The sequence below is a fragment of the Homo sapiens genome, chromosome 1 (assembly GCF_000001405.40).
Source record: "Homo sapiens chromosome 1, GRCh38.p14 Primary Assembly".
NCBI classification, from domain to species: domain Eukaryota; kingdom Metazoa; phylum Chordata; class Mammalia; order Primates; family Hominidae; genus Homo; species Homo sapiens.
This window is the reverse complement of record NC_000001.11, coordinates 41,506,056-41,531,659: the sequence shown is the minus strand read 5'-3', so window position 1 is coordinate 41,531,659 and position 25,604 is coordinate 41,506,056. Positions and strand designations below refer to the sequence as shown.

The window sequence follows — 25,604 nt, the reverse complement described above, 5'->3', positions numbered from 1 at the left end:
CTCCATCTCTCCTGTCCTCCATCTCCCGTCTTCCATCTCTCCTGTCCTCCATCTCCCCTGTCCTCCATCTCTCCTGTCCTCCATCTCCCCTGTCTTCCATCTCTCCTGTCCTCCATCTCCCCTGTCCTCCATCTCTCCTGTCCTCTATCGCCCCTGTCTTCCATCTCTCCTGTCCTCCATCTCCCCTGTCCTCTATCTCTCATGTCCTCCATCTCCCCTGTCTTCCATCTCCCCTGTCCTCCATCTCTCCTGTCCTCCATCTCCCCTGTCCTCTATCGCCCCTGTCTTCCATCTCTCCTGTCCTCCATCTCCCCTGTCCTCTATGTCTCATGTCCTCAATCTCCCCTGTCCTCCATCTCTCCTGTCCTCCATCTCCCCTGTCCTCCATCTCTCCTGTCCTCCATCTCCCCTGTCCTCCATCTCTCCTGTTCTCCCTTCTCTCCTGTCCTCTATCTCTCCAGTCCTCCATCTCTCCTGTCCTCCCTTCGCTCCTGTCCTCCCTTCTCTCCTGTCCTCCATCTCTCCTGTCCTCCCTTTGCTCCTGTCCTCCCTTCTCTCCCATCCTCCATCTCTCCTGTCCTCCCTTCGCTCCTGTCCTCCCTTCTCTCCCATTCTCCATCTCTCCTGTCCTCCATCTCTCCTGTCATCCCTGGCCTCACCCAACCCAGGCTCCTCCCTCGTGTTCCCCAGCAGGCTACACTCCCTCCCTGATGTGACAAGGTGCTGCACGTGGTTGTGTACACCCCGCCCCAAGTCAAGGCACCAACCTTGAAGGCTCAGAGTCCTCTCTCTCCCTCCCCTTCCTATCTCTCTCTCTCCATTTGGAAAGACCATGTACCATTTAAGCTTGATGTGGAGGAGGAAATGAAGGGGTCGGAGAGCAGCTGGGGCAGATGGACCCTGGCACCTGCTTCTAGGTTGGCTGGCACACAGGCCCAGTAGACGTCAGAGTGGCTGTGGGCCTGTGTGGGGATCAGCAGGGTGAAGGCTAGGCTGAAGGACACCATTAGGCTGAAGGACACCATTGCAGGTGGTGGCGGGAGGGGAGCAAGTGCCATGGACCCGACAAGCAAGGCCAGGTGAAGGCTAGTGTCCAGGAGGTTGCGGGGCTTCCAGTGCAAAGGGGAGACCAAGCTGTCCTCACTCTGTCTTCTTCTAGCTGGGAAAGGGGGCCCCATCTCAGCCATCTTCCCTGGCCACCAGGTCCCAGGGGCATGGAGGGACATGGGAATTAAGATCCAGGTGTGAGCAACTGGTTTTGGTCTTGGAGATCTGCTACGTGAGGGTGAGCCGCTGTCACATCGAGGCAGATGCCTCGTGCTTGGCCACAGAGTGCCCTTCCTAAGAGAACCGAGTCATTTCTGCGTACCGCCGCCACGGCCTTCAGTTCGTCCTCTCGGACGCAAGGTGGCGCGTGTCCTGGATCCCGTGGAAAGGTGACCCCCACTGGGGACACGGCCAAAACTGGCTGGTCAGGGCAGCCATGGTGGAGAAGGGGCAGTTTTAGACTCCTTGGCGGCATCAGTTGGCCAAATCTGAGGTGACAAAAAAACAGGGTCCACCTGTACTGGTGGACAGCAGTCCATGTGTGAGGTGAGGGTGAGTGTGCCAGGAGAGTGTATGAGCGTGAGTGTGGTCTGAGTGTGCAAATGAGTCTAAGTGTGTGGTGTGTGTGCATGGGTGTGAGCGTGTGTGACTGTGAGCGTGTTAGGGTGGGGGGTGCATGTCCGTGTGGTGGGGGGTGTTGGTGTGTGGGTTTGATTGTGGGAGTATGCATCAGTGGGAGTGTGAGGATGTAAGTGTGACTGTGGGGGTGACTGTGAATGTGGGGGTGTGTGGGGTGTGTGATTGTGGGGTTATGTGTATGTATGAGTGTGTGGGGATGTGGAAGTGAGTCTGGGGGTGTGTGTGGATGGTTGTGAGGGTGGCGTGTGTATGTGTAAATATGGGGTATATGAGTATTCAAGTGGAGATGCAAGTGTGGTTGTGGGAGTGTGTAGGGGCGTGAGTGTGGGGTGTGTGAGGGTGTGGGGGGTGTGGGGTGAGTGATGTGAGTGTATGTATGTGTATGAAGGTGGGGACGTATGTGTGAGGGTGGGGTGTGGGGGGAGGAGAGTCGGGTGTGTGAGGGTAGGGGTGTCAGCATAAGTGTGAGGATGGGGTGTGGAGTATGTGAGTATGGGGTGTGAGTTTGGGGGGAGTGTGAGGGTGTGGGGTGTGAGCATGTGTGAGGGTGTGTGTGAGGGTGTGGGGTATGAGCATGTGTGTGGAGGGTGAGCATGTGAGGGTGAGCGTGTGAGTGTGGGGGTGTCAGCATGTGTGAATGTGAGGGTGTGGGGAGGTGTGAGCATGTGTGATGGTGAGGGTGTGTCAGTGGGGGGTGTGAGCATGTGTGAGTGTGAAGGTAAGTGTGAGTGGGGGTGTGAGCATGTGTGAGGGTGAGGGTGTGAGTGTATGGGTGTAAGCATGTGAGTGTGAGGGTGGGGTGTGAGCATGTGTGAGGGTGAGGGTGTGTGTGAGGGTGAGTTGTGTGAGGGCGTGTGGGGGTGTGAGCATGTGTGAGGGTGTGGGGTGAGGATGTGTGTGAGTGTGAGGGTGAGGGTGGGGGTGTGAGCATGTGTGAGGGAGAGTGTGAGGTCAGTGGTGTGAGTGTGAGGGCAGGGATGTGAAGTGTGAAGGTGAGTGTGAGGGTGGGGGTGTGGAATGTGAGCATGAAGGTGAGTGTGAGGGCGGGGGTGTGCGAAGGTGTGAGGGCGGGGTGTGGAGTGAAGGTGTGAGGGTGGAAGTGTGGAGTGTGTGAAGGTGAGTGTAAGGGCAGGGGTGTGTGAAAGTGTGAAGGCAAGGTGTGGAGTGTGAAGGTGAGTGTGAGGGTGGGGGTGTGGAGTGTGTGAAGGTGAGTGTGAGGATGGAGTATGTGAGGGTGTGTGAGGATGAGTGTGAGGGTGGGCTGTGAGTCTGAGGGTGAACGTGAGGGCAGGGGTGTGAGTGTGAAGGTGAGGATGGGGGTGTGGAGTGTGTGAAGGTGAGTGTGAGGGTGGGGTGTGAGTGTGAGGGTGTGTGAGGGTGGGGTGTGTGAGGGTGGGGTGTGTGAGGGTGGGGTGTGTGAGGGTGGGGTGTGAGTCAGGGTGAATGTGAGGGCAGGGGTGTGAGTGTGAAGGTGAGTGAGGGTGGGGGTGTGGAGTGTGTGAAGGTGAGGGTGGGGTGTGTGTGAGGGTGGGATGTGAGTCTGAGGGTGTGAGGGCAAGGGTGTGTGAAGGTGAGGGTGGGCGTGTGGACTGTGTGAAGGTGAGTGTAAGGGCGGGGTGTGGAGTGTGAGGGCGAGTGTGAGTGTGGGGGTGTGGAGTGTGAAGGTGAGTGTGAGGGTGAGTGTGGGGGTGTATGTGAGGGTGTGTGAGGGTGGAGGGGTGTGAGGGTGAGTGTGTGAGGGTGTGAGGGTGGAGTGTGAAGGTGTGAGGGCAGGGGTGTGTGAAGGTGAGGGTGGGGATGTGGAGTGTGAGGGCAAGTGTGAGTGTAGGGGTGTGGAGTATGAAGGTGAGGGTAAGGGTGTGAGGGTGGGGTGTGAGTGTGAAGGTGTGAGGGCAAGGGTATGAGTGTGAAGGTAAGTGAGGGGGGTGTGGAGTGTGAATGTGAAGGTGAGTGTGAGGGCGGGGTGTGGAGTGTGAGTGCGGGAGTGTGGAGTGTGAAGGTGAATGCAAGGGTGTGGGGTGCATGTGTGAGGGTGACCATGTGAGGGCAGGGGTGTGTGTGTGAGGGTGAGCATGAGGGTGGGGTGTGAGTGTGAATGTGTGACGACAGGGGTGTGAGGGTGAGGGTGGGGAAGTGGATTGTGAATGTGAAGTTGAGTGGGAGGGTAGGGTGTAGAGTGTGAGAACGAGTGTGAGTGCAGGAGTGTGGAGTGTGAAGGTGAATGCGAGGGTGTAGGGTGCATGTGTGAGGGTGAGCATGTGAGGGTGGGGGTGTGTGAGGGTGAGCATGAGGGTGGGATGTGTGAATGTGTGAGAACGGGTGTGTGAGGGTGGGGATGTGGAGTGCGAGTGTGAGGGTGGGGAGTAGAGTATGCGAATGAGTGTGAGTGCTTGAGTGTGGAGTGTGAAAGAGTGTGAGGGTGTGGGGGTGTATACGTGAGGGTGAGCATGTGAGGGCGGGGGTGTGTGAGTGTGTGTGAGGGTGGTGTGTGAGTATGAAGGTGAGTGTGAGGACAGGGGTGTGAGGGTGAGGGTGGGGTGTGGAGTGTGAGTGAAGGTGAGTGTGAGGGCAGGGTGTGGAGTGTGAGTGCGAGTGTGAGTGCAGGGGTGTGGAGTGTGAAGGTGAGTGTGAAGGTGGGATGTGTGTGTGAGTGCAGGGGTGTGAAGTGTGAGGGTGTGAGGGTGTATGTGAGGGTGTGTGAGGGTGAGCATGTGAGGGTGTGTGTGTGTGAGGTGAGTGTGTGAGGGTGAGTGTGTGAGGGTGAGCATGTGTGGGAGTGGGAGTGAAGGTGAGTGGGTGTGTGGGTGTGTGAGAGGATGAGCATGTGAGGGTGTGTGAGGGTGTGTGTGAGGAAGAGGGTGTGTGAGGGTGAGTGTGGGTGTGTGGGTGTGTGTGAGGATGAGCATGTGAGGGTGTGTGTGAGGAAGAGGGTGTGTGAGGGTGGGGGGTGAGTGTGGGGGTGTAAGCGAGTGTGAGTGCAGGGGTGTGGAGTGTGAAGGTGAGTGTGAGGATGAGTGGGGTGTGAGCATGTGTGAGGGTGAGCATGTGAGGGTGTGTGTGGAGATATGAGCATGTTTTAGTGTGAGAGTGAGCTTGTGAGGCTGTGTGTGAGCGTGTTAGGGTGAGTGTGTGAACGGGTGTGAGGGAGTGTGGGGGGGTGTATGTGTGAGGGTGAGCGTGTGAGGGTGTGTGTTAGGGTGAGTGTGAGGGTGAGTGTGGGGATGTGAGCACGTTTTAGGGTGAGTGTGTGAGGGTGTGTGTGAGGGTGAGTGTGCGTGAGGGTGAGTGTGGGGGTGCGAGCAGGTATGAGGGGGAGTGTGAGTGTGGGGGTGTGAGGGTGTGTGTGAGGGTGAAGGTGGGGGTGGGAGCAGGTGTAAGGGTGTGAGTGTGGGGGTGTATGTGTGAGGGTGTGTGAGGGTGAGGGTGAGTGTGGGGGTGTAAGCATGTGTGAGGGCAAGTGTGACGGCAGGGGTGTGGAGTGTGAAGGTGAGTGTGAAGGTGAGTGTGGGGGTGTGAGCATGTGTGTGAGGGTGAGCGTATGAGGGTGAGTGTGAGGGTGAGTGTGGGGGTGTGGGCATGTGTGAGTGTGAGGGCGAGCGTGTGAGGGTGAGTGTGAGGGTGAGTGTGGGGTGTGAGCATGTTTTAGTATGAGGGTGAGCGTGTGAGGGTGAGTGTGTGTGAGGGTGAGCGTGTGAGGGTGAGTGTGTGGGTGTGAGCATGTGTGAGGGCGAGTGTGAGGGTGGGGGTGTGGTGGTGGTGGTTCTGTTGCTGCCAGCGGGCTCTCTCCCTCAAGTCCCCTCTTCCAAGCCCTTCCTTCCCAAGTCCTTTCAGCTGTAAGCTGATGGCCCCATTGGAGCAGGGTGGAGCCCCCCCGCCCCGACACGCTGTCCCTTGCTCACCTCCTCCCAGCCACCTCCTGCCCCTCTGTGCTGGAACCAGGCAGGGGCAGGTGGTGCGGCGTGAGTATGTGAGGGCAACTCTGGCTGGCGTTGGAAGGTGCGCCCCACAGGTTGAGAAGCCACGCCTCCTCCACGTGCCGTGCCAGTGGCCTCTCAGGCTTCAGGAGTCAGAAGGCTCTTCTCCTGGAATTATGCCAGGGTCCCCTCTCCTGGCGCGCCCCCTGCCACCCTCCCCACCGCATCTGAGACTTGCACATGTATAGCATTAGACCAACAAGACAGCTTCATCGTGATCCTGTTGCGCATGTGGGACTCGTGGGTTTCCTTCTAAGTGGAAATAAGAGCATTCTGATTCGTGCTTCAGGCGCAGCTTCTGAAAGCTGGTGGCACTTCCAGATAGAACCCCAAGCGATGTGGCAGGTGGCTGGGACCCTGCATCCTGCAGAGCTTGCAGGCTGACGTGCAGGTGAGGGGGAGAGCTCAGGACTCCTCATTCCAAACTCTGAAGCCAGGGAAGCAATGGTGGTCCCTGTTCCTTCTCCTCCCATGAATATCAAGGCGGCTTCCTGGCAGACTGGACAGGCTTTGGGGCAGGCAGGTTCAAAGCCTGATTCTGGCCCCTTCTGGCTATGGGATCTTGGACAAGTCTCTCACTGTCTCTAAATCTCGGGGTCTCACAGGCTCTCCATGGTGAGGTGGTTGTGCTTTGATTTGGGTAAAGTGCCTGGCAGAGTGAGCACTTGGTGAATGGCGGCTGCCCGAGCTGCTGCTGCTGTTTTATTATCATCATTCCCTCTCTGGGACTCTGGTGGCCTGCGGTGGCTGTTCTTTGTGGGCGAAGCTGTAGCTGGGCTGGCTGTGCCAAGGAGGCTGTCTGGCACCCTGCAGCTCCACATCCCCTCAGTGGGAAGCGCCAGTGTCTGCTGCTCTGGAGGAGGAAGAATAGTGCAACCCCCCGTCTGAGGGGGAGGGGCGCAGGGGTCCGCAGTGGATCACCAGGGTGACTCAGTTCCTCCCACTCTCGTGGTCCTCTCTGGTTCCGTGGCCTCCATTCCTTGCGTCTGTAACGGGCTGGATGAATCTAGGAAGCGCGTGCGTCTTCTGAGGTGGGAACCTGCCTCTTCTCCTTTTTTTTCCCTTTACTATGACGCCTGTTGCTCATAGGTACAAATCAAACGAAGAGTATGTATATGTGCGAGGCCGCGGCCGAGGGAAATATGTTTGTGAGGAGTGTGGAATTCGCTGCAAGAAGCCCAGCATGCTGAAGAAACACATCCGCACCCACACTGACGTCCGGCCCTATGTGTGCAAGCACTGTCACTTTGCTTTTAAAACCAAAGGTAAGAGAGAGTCAGCTGGGGCACTGCCCCTGCCCGCTGCAGGGAGCTCCCCTCTGGGAGTCCCAGCACAGAGTTCAGGTGCCCAGACCTCTTTGCAGGGGGCCTGGAGCAGCCCCATTTCCTGGGTTCCCACCCAGCTTGGTGCCCAGTGGCAGAGCAGCTGGCTCCAGACTGGCCTGTGGCTCCCCATGGCTGCCCCCAGCCATCCTCCTGGAACACACACACAGCCCCTGCACCTGTGGCCACCCGGCCCTGGCCTGCCCAGCCTGGTGCGGCACTCTTGCTCACCGTTCATGGTTTTGCATCTTCTCTCATCTCCCCTCCCTTCTGCATGTCTCCTGAGCCGTTTATCCACTGATCTGAGACACTCCAGCATCCATGCTCGTCACTGCCACTCTTGCATTTGGAAATCCATTCCACTCCCAGCTGCTTAACACACTCGCATGCTCTCTTCTCCTGCCAGAGCGCGCCGACCTCCACCCACCTCTCCACTCCCACCATGCCCCTGCTCCACCCAGCTTCTCTGCACCTCTCAGCACAGGGCCAGCCCCCCACTCCCAGACTGACAGCCCTGTCACCCCTGCCCCAGCCACACCCCACATCAGGGTCAGGATAGGCTCTGGCAGTCACTGGTGAAAGGAGGGGCCTGCTGTGAAAGGCATGCATCCCAGAGAGCTGTGATGGGTGATGGGCATGGCCTGGCCTGCCACAGCCACCCAGGCCAGGCCCCTGGTGTGGACAAAGGAGCTGAGTCCATGAGATTCTTGGATTGCACTCTCCTACTGCAGGATAGGCAGGGAAGGTCCTGGCAGCTTGCTCACTGCAGACTGAAGCGCCTTGGAGGGAGACCCAGGGCTCTCGGCACCCCAGTGTCTTCAGCCTCTGGAGCTTGATAGATTCCTGGGTCAGGGTTTGGACATCAGGGTCCTGTCTTCTCCTTTGAGCAAGTTGGGGGCTTCTGGGAGCCCCACGGTTTCTCAGGGGGTGAAACTCAAGGGCATCCTTCAGCTGTGCCACCTGTTGACCTTTCTTCTGTTGGCAAAGTTGCTCCCAGCAAGCGAGGCTGGGCAGCTGCTCTGGAGGGGGCCCAGCAGGGTCCCTACCCTTCTTCACTTCCTCCGTGCTCTTGCTGCTTGGCCCCTTCCGTTCTCTCTATACCAGGTCAGGGGCCAGTTTATCACATCCCCTGGGAGAGTGGCCTCTTCTCTGACTGTGTTCCCATTTCTGGTCTCCTCACCCCATTAACTGAACCCCTGCCCTCCTCTGTCCCCTCGCCATCATCTGCAAGTTGAGCTCAAATTTTCCTGTCAAGGTTTTGGTTTAAACAGAGGTGCCTGCCCTCCCACTGCCTTTCCCCCATCCTCTTCTCTCTTGGTGTCTCATAAACAATGTCCCAAAGGTTGCCCAGAGAGGGCACATTGGCCCAGGACTCCCCACCCACCCCATGGGTGCTTCGAAGGTGTCTTCCATCCCTGCAGCCCTGCCCAGCATGCGTCGCCCTGGACATGGGCTGTCCCTGACACGCCCTCCAACCGCACTTCCTCTGGCCTTCTGCAGCCAGTCGAGATTTTATGGAAGAGCAAGACGGGGATAACTGACTGACAATTCAATGGACGGTCGTCAACTCTAAAAGTGGAAAACTTATCACCCAAGTCCCCTTGAAGGTGAAGAAAGTGATCCCAGAAAACAGAATAACTGTTAATGCTGGAGCTGTAACTAGAACACGGGCCCCGAGCTCCAGGGCATCACCCCATCATCTTCCTTTCTGTGAGCAGTTAGTTCCCTCCCTTCCCTGGAGTGGGTGGCAAAAAGCTGCACTTGGAGTGGCCTGTGTCCAGGGGACCACACTGCCAGCCCAGGGCCATGCAGAGCACACCTGTGCCCCACACGCAGCCTGGGCTGCCCATCGCCTCAGGAAACCATCACTCTGCCGCGTGAGACTGGAAGTTTCCAGCCCAAGCAGTTTCCCACAGGGGGCCCACTCAATTCCCTTTGCCTTGGGTCCCTAGCAGGAGCCCGTACTTTCTAGGAGATGCCTTCATTGGAAGCCACACTGAGCCTGTCTGCAGTCCCTTCCTGGGTCTCTCTGAGCCAGCACAGAGCCAGGGCCCTGGAGGGCTTTGGAGGGTCCAGAGGGCGTAATCTGAACAGAGGGGCTGTAGGCCCTCCCCATTTCCAGGGGTGTAGAGCATCCCCCGAGGTAAGGCTGCCCCTGCTGTCCTGAAGGCCAGGGCTGTGAGGCCGTGCTCTCAACCAGTGATCAAGCAGTGCCCTGAGCTCTTCCTCAACTGTTCACAGGGGCTTCTAGAAGACTAGAACCTTCCAGAACCAACGAAGGGAGCAGATGGGAAATGGTGGAATCTGAAACTGTTTGACTAATAGAGGGAAGGCCAGGTTGGGATGGTGGCAATGGAAGCAGGGAAGTCTCCCTGTTAACTCTCTCTGCAGTATGGGGGTGAAGGGAGAGCAGGGCGCTGGAGCTCCTGTCTGTTTCTGGGGCCAGGTGTCTTTGTGGAGTGCTGGGCCCCGTCAGCCATCAGCTCAGACAACACAGGCCCCTTGTCTCCGGGGCTGTGTGCCTCCCCATTGGGCCACCTCCAGGCCTGCCCCAGGCAGCCCTCCCGACCCTACCACCCGGCTACACCAGGGCCTGGGGAGCCCCTCCTGCCTTCCTGTCTGTCTCTGTCTGCCGTGTGTGTCTCGTCTCTTGTGTCAGACGTCGTGGCAGCAGCTCAGGCCTCTGGAAACTGGCTAAGGAATGCGTCAGTAGGTGGGGCTGGGGAGGCCTGTGGGTGGCCCTGTGGTGGCTGGGGGTCCCATTTCCTCTTCTCAGATGGTTCCCAGAGGCCAGCGGATGGCTGTGCCATGTCCAGGCCCTTGCACCGATCGCCTCAGGGGACAGAGATGGCCTCAGGTCTGCCAGCGGCAGGGGCAGGGACAGAGCGGTTGATCAAAGCCAAATGAGGCAGGCAGGGTTGTTGGTGGATGCCCTTTTATCGGAGGTTCCGCCTCTTCCCGACACCCATCACTTTACCTCTCACTTGCCTTTCCTCTTCATTCCAGGCCTGTCAGGCTTTGGTGGGGTCTGGGATGACTGTGAGAAGCTGTGGCTCTGCCTGACAAGCTGAGGCCCTGGCCCTCAACAGGGAAGTGGTGTTCAGGCTGTGCCTGCAGCCGTGTGCCCCACCTTCCCCTTTCACAGAGGAGGAGACAGGCCTGGAGAGGGGAAGTCACAGAGGGACCCGGACAGCACTCAGGGCTGCCCATCCAGTGTCCACTCCTGGACCCGCAAAGTCACCTCCGATCCTGACTCCTCCCTGCACCCCCGTGGCGGGGGCAGAGGAGAGGGAGGCCTATGGGGGGCTCCCTGGTGCCTTCTCCTGAGAAAGGTAAAACCATTTCACCAAAAGCATCATCTTAGCATCTCTTCCTCCACACCCAGCATGGTGCGTGGCAGAGCCCCTGGGCTGCTCAATAGAGTGACTCACATGGGGACAGGGGTCTGTTCTCTGCCAGGCACACTCTGCTGCCACTCTACTTGTGTCACCTCATCAAGTCCTCCCGCATCCCCACGAGGTAGGTATTACTTCACGGTTGCAGAAACCAGGGCTCAGAAGGTTGAGGAACTTGCCCAAGAGCCCACAGCTGGCAAGTGGCAGAGCCCACAGTCAAACCCAAGGCTGCCAGGTTCCATCTAGGTTCCATTCTGCCTCCACATGGAGTGGGAAAGGCCCCCCGAGTCTTGAGACCTGGGTCTAGATGGAACTCGGCACCAACCAGCACTGTGACTGTGGACCACTTGATTCACTGTGTTGGTTCAAGCAGCCCTGCCAGCATCCAAGACAGCCAGTGATCTTGTCTAATGGTGCCATCAGCACCTGGGCCCAGAGTCAGATCAGAAGCAGGGAGAACCTCAGCCTGGCGGGGGTTGAATTACATGGACTTTGAAGCTCCTTCCAACATTTTCCTCCTGCGATGACAAGGGCATTTCCCATACATGGCTATTGTACACCCATTGTGTGCCCAGCGTCTAGCTTGGTTCATTAGAGACCTAAACCTTCCAGGCAGAACAGGTGCAACAAGTGAGGTAATAGCCAGAATGAGCAGTGTCCACAGTGCCCTGTGGCCTGGGGTAGTCAGGGTAGGGTGGGCCTGGCTCCACGACCTTAGGACAGTGGGTATCTCTGATCCGCGGAAGACCCCAGCTGCCTTTTCCCACCTCTTGACTGTCCTACTCTGGCTTTGCCTTCTCATGACAATGAGGGCCGAAGTCCACAAGGTTGGATAGGGACCTCTGAGGACCCTCTGGCTACAAGATGACTCTGAAATTTATGGCTTTGCTCCCACTATGGCCAGGAGTAGGACATCCAGATTTATTTCCGGTTGTAGGAGGAAAACCCAAATTGGGAAGGATAGAGTCATGAACTAGGACCAAGGTGAAGAAAGAGGAAAGGAAACAGCTCCCCTCCCATCCCTGCTGCCCTTGACTTGGACACCTCAGGGAATCCCAGCTTAAGGGTCCCCCATTAACCTCTTAGCAAAACCCTAAATATTTCTTCTAATTCTAGGAATGATTAAGAAGCACCCTTCAGTTCATCCATGGGCCCTCTCCCTGGTCACCTATCCATCCATCTCATCTAATTGTTTTCCTGTTCATTTATCTGCTCATCCTATCTGTTCCTACCATTCTCCCATTTGTCCTCCCACCCATCCAACTTCCCATTCTTTCATCCTTCTGTCTGTACTCTCATGCATGTAATAGTGCATGTATCCATTCATCCATCCAACCAGCCATTCTTCCATTCTTCCATTCATCCACGTCTCTGTCCTCCCATCCAGCTCTCCATCATCTCATCTGTTTATTGACCCATTCTCCATCTATCCTTCCATTTGTTTTCATCTACTCACCTATCCTCCGTCTGCCTATTCATCTCCTTATCTGCTCATCTAGCGTTCCATCCTTCTGTCTATCCTCTTCCTGTTCTTCATTCTCTTTATATTTCCTTTATCCACTTTATCTATCCACGCACCAATCGCTCTATTCATCCACTCCAGGAGGCTTAGCTCTTTCCATTCTTCTCTCCTCCATCCATCCATTCAAACTTACCAATTCATTAGACTAATGGGACAGAGCACCTGACTCAGGGAACTTATGACTTATGATGTTAATGACCATATGGAAATATAGCCATCCCCAGGGCAACAGTGAGCACATCACGGTTTGGGAGTAGCTGCTGGGCCCAAAGGAATATCCTGAGGCATCTGGCCTGTGTTCTTCTGGGGCAGGCTGGGATGCTCTGCCTGTCCTTCCTAGAACGCTCCTGTCCACAGAGCTGTGTGGCCTGTGAAATGTTGTGCACCTGTTGGGGAACTGAAGCTGTTGCTACTGTTCCCTGATTCCACAGAGCTGCTGCCTCCACTCTTCAGCTTGTGGGCTGGACCTACAACTTGGGGCAAAGTCAGCCTCCCCTCTGAGGGCTTTGTAGGCATGGAGCAGGACAGAGGCCTTGCCCAGGCCTTCCCTGAACCACCCTGGTCCTGTGTCTGCACTGTAGATTGGCCTGGGGAAACTGAAGGCCCAGAAATGGGACTTCTCTATGGAAACCAAGCTTGGGCCCCCAGCCTTGTGGCTCCTGAGTCCCTGGCTAGTAGACTTCCCTACTCTCACCTTCTGCCCTCTCGCCATGCCTAATATTAAATTTGCCCTGGTTTCTCTACCTACACTTTAGAATTCTGCCCTGTGAGCTGCCCTAGAGGTGTCCTCAGCCAGAAGGGCATGCTCAGTCCTCACCCGTCATGCCGGTCAATGGGAGCCTCCCACGTCATCCCACACTTGAGATGGCCAATAGTCCTGCCTGATGAGTGTCACCAGCTACTAGGGCCAGACTTAAATCAGAAGCAAAAAAAAAAAAAAAAACCTATTGCACTTGAGTTGTCTTTTAATTTCTTTTTTGTTTGTTTTTTAACCAGCATCTCACTTCCTCATTATACTGTCTGTCCCCTCACAGCCCTCGCCCACCCCACCTAGCTGCTGTGCACTGCCCTGAACAGCAGCTGTGGCTACACTTCTGGGCCTGAGCACCGGGGCAGAGGGATACCCCAGCTCCTGCCCAGCCCTGCAGCTGGCAGGGCCTTGACTGGCCTGAGAAACCATGGCCTGCCGGCCAGGTGCTACCTCCATGAGCCCTGGGTCCGCCCTGGCCTCCTGCCCCATAGCAGAGCCTAAGTATTCTCGTTTCTTTCTAGGGAATCTGACTAAGCACATGAAGTCGAAGGCCCACAGCAAAAAGTGCCAAGAGACAGGGGTGCTGGAGGAGCTGGAAGCCGAAGAAGGTAACAATTGCCAACCTTCTCCGTCCCCTTTCCCCTTGTCCGCTTTCCCTATCCTCCTCCACCTTTCCTGCTTGCCTTCCCTGCTTCCTTTCTGTCTGCTTTGCCCCATTCCCCCTCCTCCCCTCTCTCCCTCCAATAGCTTCACCTTCAGTTCTCCCAAGTATCAGACAAAGGTTAAATTCCCTGAATGATCGAGCCACCTCCCCACATGCTGATAGGATATGCTCTGCAGCCCTAGCTATCATGCATTACCATCTGCCATGCAGGTGGAGCGCCTGGCACCCATGGGTGCTCAGTGAATGTTTACTGAATAAATGCACACAAGAGAACTTACAGCCAACGTTGATTGAGTGCCCACTATGTGTCAGGCGGGTTCTAAATGCATGCCCTGAATTATCCCAGCCAACCCCTCATAGTGACACTGTGGGACACATACTCTCCGAAGCTCCACACCCACACTCCTGCCTACACACTCTGGCATGGGCCTGACACATGGGCCTTTTGGAGCTAGGAGAGTTTCAAAAAAGCCCAAACCAGACCTGACAGCCGCTTGTCACCTCCCAGCCCCATCCCCGTACACACCCCGGCCATGGTGGTCAATCCCCAGGAGGCATCTTAGAGTCAGTCTCTGAGAAGACAGGGCAGAGGAGTCGAAGCCAGTGGGTCTGGCTGAGCACTGCCCAGCCTCAGCAGTCAGGCAGGTGGCCAGAGGGGCTTTGGTGGTGGACGGCAGTCCCTCCAACAGAAGGAGGCTGGAGCCATCTCGCCAGCACCAAGCAAAGCAGGAAGCATACTGATTCCCTGAAATCAGCCCCAGGACTTAGAGTGTGACAGAGAGGAGTGTGTATGCACGCACTGTGTGTCTTGTTCTGTTTTTGTTTTTCCAATTTGGGGATGTATTTGTGGTCTTACAAAAAAGAGTTAAGTCATATTTCCTTTTAGGTGGAATAAGTCATTTTTATAGAGGAGAACACAGTGAACTTGGGGCTGTTCCCCCCCAAAGCTAGAATGGGGTTCACTATGCTTGTCAAGGATACACTGGGCCATATGCACATGTTGTCTCATTGAGTCCTCAAAACAGGTGGCAGAAACTTGTGTCACTCATGTTAAGTCAGGGAAGTCAAAGCTCAGACAGGTAAAAATAGCCCAAGGTCACACAAAAACCCTGGCTGCATGCCAGTCCACTGCCTGGTGGGCTGGACCAGGGGAGCCTGAACCTAAGCCAGAGCCCTCCCCTGAGGTCCCTGCCCTGCCCCAGCCTCATTTTCCCAGTGGAGCAAACGAGGATGCTCAGAGCCACTTTTCGGAGGACGAAATCCATGCATTCATTCCAGAAGTAATTACTGGGCACAGTCTCTGTGCCTGGCTCTGTTCTGGGTGCTGGGGGTTCCGCAATAAATAAAACAGCTCCTGCCCTCAGGCAGTCGGCATGGCAGGGGAGCTGGGCAAGGAACGATGGTGGAGTAGAGCAGGGGCCCTGCCTGTGAAGCCAAAGAGAAAGCAGAAGAGCCAAGTGAGGGCTGGGGCCCGTGGGGAGGGCCGCTGTGCTAGACAGGGCGGTGTGAGCAGAGAACCCACCCGGAGGAACCGGGGTCAGGAGCCACGTGGGGTCAGGGAGGAGCTCTCCTGCAGAGGGAGCAGCAGGTGTGGGGTCCCCGGGGGCCACGGCGCTTGGCCCGCGTGCTGGAGCCCGCTGGACGCGGGGGCAGCCGGTTCAGAGAGAGCTAGAGCCTGAGGGCTGAAGGGCATGGGGGGGTGCCCTGGAGCGGAGGAGAGAGGCAGGGCGTCCTCTGGCCTGTGCCGTGGGCGCGGGGAGCACGGGTGTGCTCAGGAGGTGGAAAAGCGGCGGGATTCTGGGGAGGTTCCGGAGGGAGAGCCCACAGGCTCAGATGACCCCATATGGGGCAGAAGAGAGGGGGAAGAACGAAAAGGAGCCATGGAGGACTCCAAGGATTACGGCCCAAGAGACTGAAGGATGGAGTTTCCACTTCCCGCGACGAGACAGATGCCGGGGGGAGCGGCAGGAGTTCGTGTCTGTGGGACGCGAGGTGGCGCGTGGGAGAACTGCCTGGAAGGAGCCAGGCGCCCCGGCCCTGCCCATGGTGCTGGCCAGGCTGGGCGCTAGCGCCACCGTGTGGCCTCTCCCAGCGGCGCCCGCCGCGCGCTCAAGCTCTCTCATTTGTGGAGCGTTGGCCTGGATCCCAGCAGGGGCGGGGCCGCCCAGCCAGGGGCATTCCCTCAGCGCCCTGCAGGAACGCAGATGTGGAGGCCCCGGCCAGCCCCGAGCTGGGCAGGGGACTCTTGGCTTCCAGCATTCATGCACTGAGTGCCCAGGACGGGCCATTACCCCCACTGGGTCTCAACTTCCACATTAGTAAAGAGGATCTTTAGGAGCCCTCCCTGCTGGACATCAGGAGACGCTGGTCCTGACTCTCCTTCACTCCTAACACTACCCCTGTGACCTTCATCTGCAAAATGCTGACAATCCCACCCCAGCTACCTGCCTGCTGAGACTGGGGGGACAGGGTATCATGGGATGACAGGAGCTGAAGTTTATTGGGTACTTACTGTGTGCCAGACCCTCACAGTCCTCTGAACAGCTTCCTAGAGTGCTTTTATTGCTACCCAGTTTACAGATGAGGAAACCAGACACACAGAAAGTAAAGTATCCAACGTCACACAGCAAGGAAGTGGTAGTGCTGAGATTCAAACCCGACCATTCCCTGCTTCTTAGTGCAGCACATCATTTTTAAACTGTCAGCGTAATAATGCAAGGGCTGTAAACCTTAGTTCTGACTCAGCCACCAGCTCTCACTGGGTCATCTGTGCCTGGATTTTGCTGTATGTAAATGAGGGGCAGGGCCAGGTGAACAGGTGTTGAATTAGGCCCCTCCCAAAGTCCTAGGCAAGGGAGGTAAATGCCTGGGGCATAACTACAAAGTTCACCCCCATCCCCAGCCCTGCTCTCATCCTAATCCTTCATTCCTCCTCTGGTCTCATCACCCTGCCTCTAGCCTCAGGGGCCTCCTTTTGCCTGCCAGCCCCAGCTCCACCCCATAGCTTTTGACCTACATCCGGCTGAATGCCCACTTTTGTCCACTTTGGACATCTGACTGCTGCATATTGAGTGACTTGGAAGTGCTAGTTCCGGGCTTTCTGGCCCCGGGGCAGCTGGGCATGGTTGAGAGCCAAAGCCTAGCTGCCCCAGCGGCCTGAGTCAGTTTCTGTGCCAGCCCTCCTGGTCAGGTGGGTGCAGTACTGATATGTGTGAGCGATGGGGCTGGCTGGCCAGCTCAACCCACCTGTCAGCAACCTCACTCTGCAGACCAGAAACAGGTTCCAATGGTCTAGTGATGGGCCAGCGAACAGGCCAGATGTTAGCGGAGCTCTCCCCAGCATCCGGATTGCTGTCCATTTCAGAGATGCCCAAACTAGACTCCTGACATGTTAGAGGTGACCCGACTGGTTGGGGTCATCCCAGAGGAATCAGACCAGGAGGCTAGTATTCCAGAGCCCTAACCCCCACTTTTAGACTCTATTCAATAACTCTGTCATTATTCTTATAGTCTGTTTAAGGAGTGCAAGTGACCTAAATGTCCAACAATATCTGAAACAAGTATCACAATTTTGTTTTTTGTTTACTCTTGTGAACAATTGCTTCCAAGTCACTCAACATGCAGCAGTCAGATGTCCAAAGTGGACAAAAGTGGGCATTCAGCCACATGTAGGTCGAAAACTATGGGGTGGAGCTGGGGCTGGCAGGCAATGGGAGGGCCCCGAGGCTAGAGGCAGCCTGGACTTCAAAAGGGCAGTGGCTCCTCAGATAAGAGCGTGGCTGGGATGGGGACCTGCTCTGCAGCCTGAGGCCAGCTTAGTCAAGCCGCCCACAGAGGCCAGAGTCCGCCACCTGCCAGATGCCATTGTGCCAGCCACCGGGAGCCTGGTCACCGTGGCAGATGTGTGTGTACACTGACCACGGATGGCTCTGTGCTGCTGGACCAGCCAGTGTGACTGCCCTGTCCTGGAATAACAGATTTCATCATTAATGTATTAATATGGTAGCTATAATTATTTTTAAGCCCTCAATATGTGCCAGGCCTTCATTTTAGTCCTCCTAGAAAACCTGGTGAGGTGAGACCATCACATTCATTCGACAAAGGGGGAGACCAAGCAGAGCAAGGTGGTAAGTTGCCCATGGTGAAGCCAGCACTGAGATGCTAGTGAAACAAACAAACAAACAAACAAACAAACAAAGACTGTCTTCTTTGCTATGGCTCAATCCCAGCCCTACTGCTGTCTTCCATGGGCAAGTTACTTACTTTCTCTTACCTCAGTTTCCTCATCTGTAACATGAGGATGAGAACAGTACCAGCTTCACAGGATTCTCTGAGGTCTAAATGAATAAATATACCTAAAGCTCTCAGAACTGAACATTGCACATTCTAGGCATAAGGGAATTATTGTTCATTATTATTTACAAAGCGCTCCCATATCTGTTACGTTTCTTGGTTGTCCCAACAATCTTGTGCCCTTGCGATGGCTATTTTGCCCAGTCAGCAGGCAAGGAAACTGGGGCTCAGAGAGGAGCAGCCGTGTGGGCAGTGGGGCCAAGGCCCAACTGTGACCTTGGGTCTTCTGTGTTTGCCCTCAGGAACCAGTGACGACCTGTTCCAGGACTCGGAAGGACGAGAGGGTTCAGAGGCTGTGGAGGAGCACCAGTTTTCGGACCTGGAGGACTCGGACTCAGACTCAGACCTGGACGAAGACGAGGATGAGGATGAGGAGGAGAGCCAGGATGAGCTGTCCAGACCATCCTCAGAGGCGCCCCCGCCTGGCCCACCACATGCACTGCGGGCAGACTCCTCACCCATCCTGGGCCCTCAGCCCCCAGATGCCCCCGCCTCTGGCACGGAGGCTACACGAGGCAGCTCGGTCTCGGAAGCTGAGCGCCTGACAGCCAGCAGCTGCTCCATGTCCAGCCAGAGCATGCCGGGCCTCCCCTGGCTGGGACCGGCCCCTCTGGGCTCTGTGGAGAAAGACACAGGCTCAGCCTTGAGCTACAAGCCTGTGTCCCCAAGAAGACCGTGGTCCCCAAGCAAAGAAGCAGGCAGCCGTCCACCACTAGCCCGCAAACACTCGCTAACCAAAAACGACTCATCTCCCCAGCGATGCTCCCCGGCCCGAGAACCACAGGCCTCAGCCCCAAGCCCACCTGGCCTGCACGTGGACCCAGGAAGGGGCATGGGCGCTCTCCCTTGTGGGTCTCCAAGACTTCAGCTGTCTCCTCTCACCCTCTGCCCCCTGGGAAGAGAACTGGCCCCTCGAGCACATGTGCTCTCCAAACTCGAGGGTACCACCGACCCAGGCCTCCCCAGATACTCGCCCACCAGGAGATGGTCTCCAGGTCAGGCCGAGTCACCACCACGGTCAGCGCCGCCAGGGAAGTGGGCCTTGGCTGGGCCGGGCAGCCCCTCAGCGGGGGAGCATGGCCCAGGCTTGGGGCTGGACCCACGGGTTCTCTTCCCGCCCGCGCCTCTACCTCACAAGCTCCTCAGCAGAAGCCCAGAGACCTGCGCCTCCCCGTGGGTGAGTTCCTGCCCCTGGTGGCTGGGCCGCTTCTCCCCTGTGGGTGCAGGGGTTGCAAGTTCACACCCTCCTGGGTATCACACCTGGAACTAAACAGCTCTGCCAGCTCAGTAGTTATTAATAATTTCGCAAACATTTATTAGGCACCTACTGTGCCATGCACCATGCTGGCTGCCCTAAATCAGCTGGCTTATTAAACTTTATTTTAGCCTCAGAAGCACAGAGCATGGACTCTGGAGTTCATGGGAAATGGGTTCTACCACGTATTAGTCCGTTCTTGTATTGCTATAAACAAATTCCTGAGACTGGGTAATTTATAATGAAAAGAGGTTGAATAGGCTCACAGTTCTTCAGGCTGTACAGGAAGCGTGGTGCCAGCATCTGCTCGGCTTCTGGGGAGGCCTCAAGCAGCTTTTACTCATGGCAGAAGGCAAAGCGGGAACAGGCATCTCACATGGCAGAGTGGAAGCAAGAGAGAGAGTTGGGGGAAAGGTGCCACACGCTCAAAATGCCAGATCTCATGAGAAATCACTATCTGGAGGACAGTATCAGGCCCTGAGGGATCCGTCCCCATGACCCAAACACCTCCCACCAGGCCCACCTCTAACACTGGGGTTTACAATTCAACACGAGATTTGGGCGGGGACAAATATCCAAACGATATCATATCACTTGCAAGGGGTGTGGCCTTGGATGAGGTTGTAAATACTCGTGCAATTCCCCATCCCCCACCCCATCCCCATCTGCCTGTGTTCTTTGAGCAGATGGCACAACTTAACCAAAACCATCACCATCTCCAATATCACTGTCACCAGTGCTCTCAGAGACACCACAACCAATATCATCCTTGTCAACCATCAGCACTATCCCCATGGCCAGCACCACCACTGTCACCATTGCACCAACACACCACTGCTGCCACCCCATGAGCACAGTCACCATCCCTGTCCCCTCAGCTGCCATGACCCCTCCACCGATAGCACCATCATTGTCAGCTGACCCCCTTCCGACACCTTCTCTGTCCCCGTGTTGCCATGACCCAGCCCTGTCACTCCTGGAGGAACACTGATCTAGGAATCTTTCCTTGATTTTTAATTTTGGGTTCACATTCAAATTCCTGGAGGTAGCAGAAGGGCAAAGAGCCTCAGGTGGGAACTCATGTCCAAGAGTGAAGCTGGGTGAAGACCATTTTAGGAACAGGACAGGCAGCAGACCCACATAGAGGCCAGGCTCATGGGTGACAACAGGGCCCCACGTCGCTCAAGTATCCCCTCCTTTGAAGACAGATATGCTGGCTAGAGGCATGGAGACCATGGGGCCTGAGCATACTCATGGTCACTGTCGAGCTGGAGATGGCCCATTCCAGAGATGGCAGCTGGCTCAGCATCTGTGGGCAGGGAGTCAGGAACTTGGTTCTGGGCTCAGCTCAGCCGGGACCCTGGACTCGCTCTGTGATCTTGGGCGAGTCCCCCTCCCACTTCCAGGCCTCGGCTCCCCATGTGCCCAGCATGTAACCTTCACCTTACCTTGTCTTGTTTTCTGACCCCAGCAGAAGGCCGAGTCCCGAAGTCCCTCCTGCTCACCCGGCCCTGCTCATCCTCTCTCCTCCCGACCCTTCTCCGCCCTCCATGACTTCCACGGCCACATCCTGGCCCGGACAGAGGAGAACATCTTCAGCCACCTGCCTCTGCACTCCCAGCACTTGACCCGTGCCCCATGTCCCTTGATTCCCATCGGTGGGATCCAGATGGTGCAGGCCCGGCCAGGAGCCCACCCCACCCTGCTGCCAGGGCCCACCGCAGCCTGGGTCAGTGGCTTCTCCGGGGGTGGCAGCGACCTGACAGGGGCCCGGGAGGCCCAGGAGCGAGGCCGCTGGAGTCCCACTGAGAGCTCGTCAGCCTCCGTGTCGCCTGTGGCTAAGGTCTCCAAATTCACACTCTCCTCAGAGCTGGAGGGCGGGGACTACCCCAAGGAGAGGGAGAGGACCGGCGGAGGCCCGGGCAGGCCTCCTGACTGGACACCCCATGGGACCGGGGCACCTGCAGAGCCCACACCCACGCACAGCCCCTGCACCCCACCCGACACCTTGCCCCGGCCGCCCCAGGGACGCCGGGCAGCGCAGTCCTGGAGCCCCCGCTTGGAGTCCCCGCGTGCACCGACCAACCCCGAGCCTTCTGCCACCCCGCCGCTGGACCGCAGCAGCTCTGTGGGCTGCCTGGCAGAGGCCTCTGCCCGCTTCCCAGCCCGGACGAGGAACCTCTCCGGGGAACCCAGGACCAGGCAGGACTCCCCCAAGCCCTCAGGAAGTGGGGAGCCCAGGGCACATCCACATCAGCCTGAGGACAGGGTTCCCCCCAACGCTTAGCCTCTCTCCAACTGCTTCAGCATCTGGCTTCCAGTGTCCAGCAACAGACGTTTCCAGCCACTTTCCTCGAATCATCCCACTTCCTCAGCCCCATCTGTCCCTCCGTCCAGGAGCTCTCACGGCCCCATCTGTTGTACCTTCCCATGTATGCAGTTACCTGTGCCTTTTTCTACACCTTTTGTTGCTTAAAAAGAAACAAAACAAATCACATACATACATTTAAAAAAAAAACAACAACCCACGAGGAGTCTGAGGCTGTGAATAGTTTATGGTTTTGGGGAAAGGCTGATGGTGAAGCCTCCTGACCCTCCCCGCTGTGGTTGGCAGCCACCCACCCCAGAGGCTGGCAGAGGGAAAGGGGTACACTGAGGGAGAAAGGAAAAGGAAACTTCAAACAATATAGAATTAAATGTAAAAGGAAGCACTCCTGTGTACAGATGCGATCAAGGTTCCTGTTTATTGCCACTTCACCCCCCTGCCCAGCTCGTAGCCACCCCTCTCTGCCAGCAGAAAGGCCAGTGTCCCCAGGCAGAGGGGCACAAACACAGGCAGGTGACCCCCACCCAGGCCCCAGCAGGCAGGCCCAGAAAAACTAATCTTTTCCTTTTTTTTTTTTTTTTTTTTTTTTGCAAGAAAATAAAATGATACTTTTCCTAGGATTTCAACACAAAATAATAGGTGCAGGTAGAAGGAGGAGGGCTGGCTCCCCAAGGGCTCCTGGATACTCTGGTAGTCTGAGTCATGGGCCCATCCTGGCACTCCACAGGTGGGCAGGCCACCCCACCCACGCACCCCCACTCCAGACACCTCCCTTCTGCACCCCACCCTGGCCCCCTGGGCTGGGGAAGGAGCCCTGACTGTCCGTCCCTGGCTCCCAAGCCCCTGACCGAGGCCTCACTCTCCTGTTGCCTCCTCTGTTCTAAAACCACCAAACCACCCACAAAGGCAGAAGTGGCAGGGCCCGAGCCCTAGCGGCCGTTCCTGAGACTGGGTTTTGGGTTTTGTTTCATCTTGGTCCCTGGGGTACAAGGGAGCCTGTTCCCCTCATGGCTGGGTTTTTCCAGTTCTCCACAGCAGAGGTTTGCGGGGAACTGTTTCAGGACCACTTTGCCACAGGACCGTTTCCCCCCGTCCCTGCCCCTGTCTCCACTACCCCAAGGAAATACCCACAACTGTGGCTGGTGGATACGGCCTGGACCTGTTTGCTGTCTTACACCTCTTTTTTAAAAAGAGAGAGGATGGTGTTTGATACTTCACCCAGCCACCACAGATTCTTTTGACCTAGAGGATTTTTGAATTGTCCTAACTCGTTGGAATTCTCCAAAGCAATCAGTGTGAGCCAGTGCCTCTTCCTTACCCACATCTCTACTTTCAAGAAGCTGCCCTGCATTTCCTGGGGCAAAACTCTACTTTGTAAGAAAAATAATAGGACCAGAAATTTAAATCCCAAATTGAACTATGGAACTTGAACTCTAGCGTGTTCGCCCCAACTGGGAGAGGTGAGCTTTTTCCCAGTGTTTCAGAACTGATTTTCTTTACTTTCTACAAGGGAGGGCAGCACAGGGACTACGGTTGAGGCCCGTGAAGGCTGGGTTTGATGCCACCCTATACAGAGCAGGGACCTCTCTGGCTAATCCCCAGTCCTCAGCCAGGCTGTGTGAATCAAGTGCCTGCCCCAGGGCTCTTGAGCTATTGAAGCTGCTTGGGTACAGGACACAGTAGGTGGGGAGGGTTAAGACCCTTCTGTGAGTTCCCTGTGCGGGGCTGTACTTGCCTCTTCCAATTCGTGGCCTTTCCCTGCTTGGTCCCTACTAGACAGACAAACCAGCCACAGTCCAGCCTGCAGCCAGACCACCTTGTTCACTCATTCTCCTTTGCCTCAGAGCTAAGACAAAAATGAGACAGAAGGCAGGGCTCCCTGGGAGTCCACTGTGCTCCAGGGTTCTGGGGAATCAGGGTTAGCCAGCAGCTCCTGGCTGCTTCCCTCAGAGACTAGGGCTCTCATCCTCCCCAAGAGAAGCAGCAAGCCCAGCCTGGACCACACTGTCCATATTGCTGGACAGTGGCCTGACAGAAAGTGACTCCTCCAAGTCCCAGGAGGCCAGGGCTTTTCTCATCCTTGCCTTTCAGCCCTAACCCATGGGACTGCCCACGGATTGGAGACTTCAAGGGCTGAGGTCTGGGAGCTGCATAAAGGGCATTGCTTCAGCCCAGGTTAGAAATCTGCCTGGGCAAGCTCTTCCTGCCCCAGACCTACAAAGCAGCAGACCGGGGGCTCTGGTGGACTAGCCCCTGACATTGGTGGGGGGCCCCACACCACTCCACCCCACCCTGCCTTCCAGCTCTCCTGGGCATTTTTCTCCCTGTACTCAAACAGCCTACCCACCCAAGGTTTCCTCCCTGGGCAGCCTAGCAATGAACAGTGCAGCCGGCAGGGCAGAGGCCCGGCAGTCACCGGGCCCGTCAGGCTCAGGCAGAGAAGCCACAGGGGCCAGGAGTCACTGGAGACTATTTCTAAATGATGGGGGTAAATGCACAAATAGAATCTCACCAAAGGGCTGCCTCCACATTGATGCCGTGCCCAGAGGGACAGAACCAATGCCACCAGCCTGGGTATATGTCACTGGGCACAGCTCTAACCCCCTCCTCCGGACTCTAGTCCCGCTCCTCTGCGCACAGAGCCCCCAGCCCACAGGTACACCTTCATGATTTGGAGAAAGACGCTCGCCCCATGCACGCCCTCCTCTGGGCCTTCTGCCCTGCTCCCAGTCACTTCCAAGCTTCCTGTTTGCCTGTGATGTTATTGTGCCTGTTGAGGGAAGCAGCAGAGGAGGCAGTGGCTGACTTGGCACAGATGCCTGCTACGTGCTCTGTTGAAATGCGCGGGGTGGCCATTCCTCGGTACAGACTAGTCCTGGTCCTTGGGTGTGGGCAGTGGGGGAGGAACCAACTGGTCGAGGTTTCAGAGCCAAACCTTGCCTTTGGTTGGTGAGTCCTTGCCCCCCAGGCCTGCGCTCCACGATGCCTTTCACCCTTGGCAATCTCAGGGCCATCCTGGGTAGTAACCCCACTCCTCTCTGCTCCCGCCCGCACCTGTGGCTCTCACTCTGGGCTCAACCCCTGCAACCCTCCAGGAGCCCGACAGCAGCCAGCTGCCTGCACTGTCGCCTCCGTAAGCTCCAACTTCCAGACCCAGAAGTCCCTCTGCTTCCCTCTGTTGGAAAAAGCCTAAAAGAATTAGCTTCCAGATTCCTCTAGCCCCTGCTCCATTCCCACCCAGTCCTTCTGAAGAGGAATGAGCAATACATCTGAGCTGGATTTCTCTCTAGTCCTTTCTCCAGACAAATCCTTCTTAAAGCAAAAGTCCTGGCTGAGCACCTGTCCTTGGGGACCGATCTGCCGTGTGACCAGGGGAAGAAAGTTCCCGAAAGCCTGTTCCACCAATTCTGCTTCTGTGTTGTGAATCCAGTCTGCTTTCCATTAGAAAACCGCTTCGGCACTTATGGTCACTTTAATAAATCTAGTATGTAAAAAAAGAAAGAAAGAAAAGAAACAGAAAAAAGAAACGTGCAGGCAAATGTAAAATACAATGCTCTCTGTAAGATAAATATTTGCCTTTTTTTCTAAAAGGTGTACGTATTCTGTATGTGAAATTGTCTGTAGAAAGTTTCTATGTTCTTAAATGGCAATACATTCCAAAAATTGTACTGTAGATATGTACAGCAACCGCACTGGGATGGGGTAGTTTTGCCTGTAATTTTATTTAAACTCCAGTTTCCACACTTGCATCTTGCAATGTTGGTATGGTATATATCAGTGCAAAAGAAAAAACAAAACAGAAACAAACAAAAAAAAAAAACAAAAATCCACGCAGGTCTAAAGCACAGAGTCTGACGTACAAAAGGAAAAATGCTCAGTATTGATGTGTGTGACCTTTGTTGTAAATTACATCTGTACTGTGAATGAGAAGTTTTTACAAGTATAATAATTGCCTTTATTACAGCTCTGGCTGAGTGTTCAGCCTGAGGATATTTTTTAAAAAAAAAAGAATTAGCATGTTGGAATAAATTTGAAAATCCCAACATAGCCCTGCTTGCCTGGCTCATGGTTTTTCTAGAGGGTTCCACAATGTCAGAGTTGGAAGGATACTTGGCATCCCAAGTGCTCATTTTGCTTCAGAGCAGTCAGGCCAAGAGAGCGGAGGTGACTAGGCTGCGGTCACACAGCCCAGGACACTCTTGCAGACCCTGGAAAGGCCTCGCGAGGAAGCACCAGATATAGCACCATGTGGTTTGGGGCCTGTATTTGTTCCCTAGTCTGCTGTGACAAATCACCACGAACTAGGTGGCTTTAAACAACAGAAATTTATTCTCTCACAGTTCTGGAAGCCTGAAC

The 25,604-nt window shown here is 56.0% G+C and overlaps 1 protein-coding gene across 2 annotated transcripts in view, besides 4 other annotated features; it reads left to right on the top strand.

Annotated features, from left to right (window-relative positions):
* Positions 1-25,295, top strand: part of HIVEP3 (HIVEP zinc finger 3) — a 529,570-nt gene extending 504,275 nt beyond the window's left edge. Inside the window, exons 5-8 of one of the 2 annotated variants that reach the window (NM_001127714.3) lie at positions 6,750-6,925; positions 13,172-13,258; positions 17,910-18,844; positions 20,397-25,295. In NM_001127714.3, coding sequence (NP_001121186.1) covers positions 6,750-6,925; positions 13,172-13,258; positions 17,910-18,844; positions 20,397-21,209 — 2,011 coding nt within the window. In that variant the 3' untranslated portion in view covers positions 21,210-25,295. Of the gene's footprint in view, positions 1-6,749; positions 6,926-13,171; positions 13,259-17,909; positions 18,845-20,393 lie in introns of both variants that reach the window. The other variant, NM_024503.5, reaches the window with a different exon arrangement.
* Positions 9,722-10,316: an enhancer, noted in NCBI's record as "H3K4me1 hESC enhancer chr1:41987015-41987609 (GRCh37/hg19 assembly coordinates)". NCBI's record gives its function as "activates a minimal SCP1, AML or CMV promoter by ChIP-STARR-seq in primed H9 embryonic stem cells {active_cell/tissue: H9 hESC(primed)}" and the evidence as "EXISTENCE:reporter gene assay evidence [ECO:0000049][PMID:30033119]".
* Positions 12,853-12,902: an enhancer, noted in NCBI's record as "active region_867". NCBI's record gives its function as "activates an Ori minimal core promoter by ATAC-STARR-seq in GM12878 lymphoblastoid cells {active_cell/tissue: GM12878}" and the evidence as "EXISTENCE:reporter gene assay evidence [ECO:0000049][PMID:35858748]".
* Positions 15,308-15,487: a silencer, noted in NCBI's record as "silent region_750". NCBI's record gives its function as "represses an Ori minimal core promoter by ATAC-STARR-seq in GM12878 lymphoblastoid cells {active_cell/tissue: GM12878}" and the evidence as "EXISTENCE:reporter gene assay evidence [ECO:0000049][PMID:35858748]".
* Positions 18,132-18,632: an enhancer, noted in NCBI's record as "H3K4me1 hESC enhancer chr1:41978699-41979199 (GRCh37/hg19 assembly coordinates)". NCBI's record gives its function as "activates a minimal SCP1, AML or CMV promoter by ChIP-STARR-seq in naive H9 embryonic stem cells {active_cell/tissue: H9 hESC(naive)}" and the evidence as "EXISTENCE:reporter gene assay evidence [ECO:0000049][PMID:30033119]".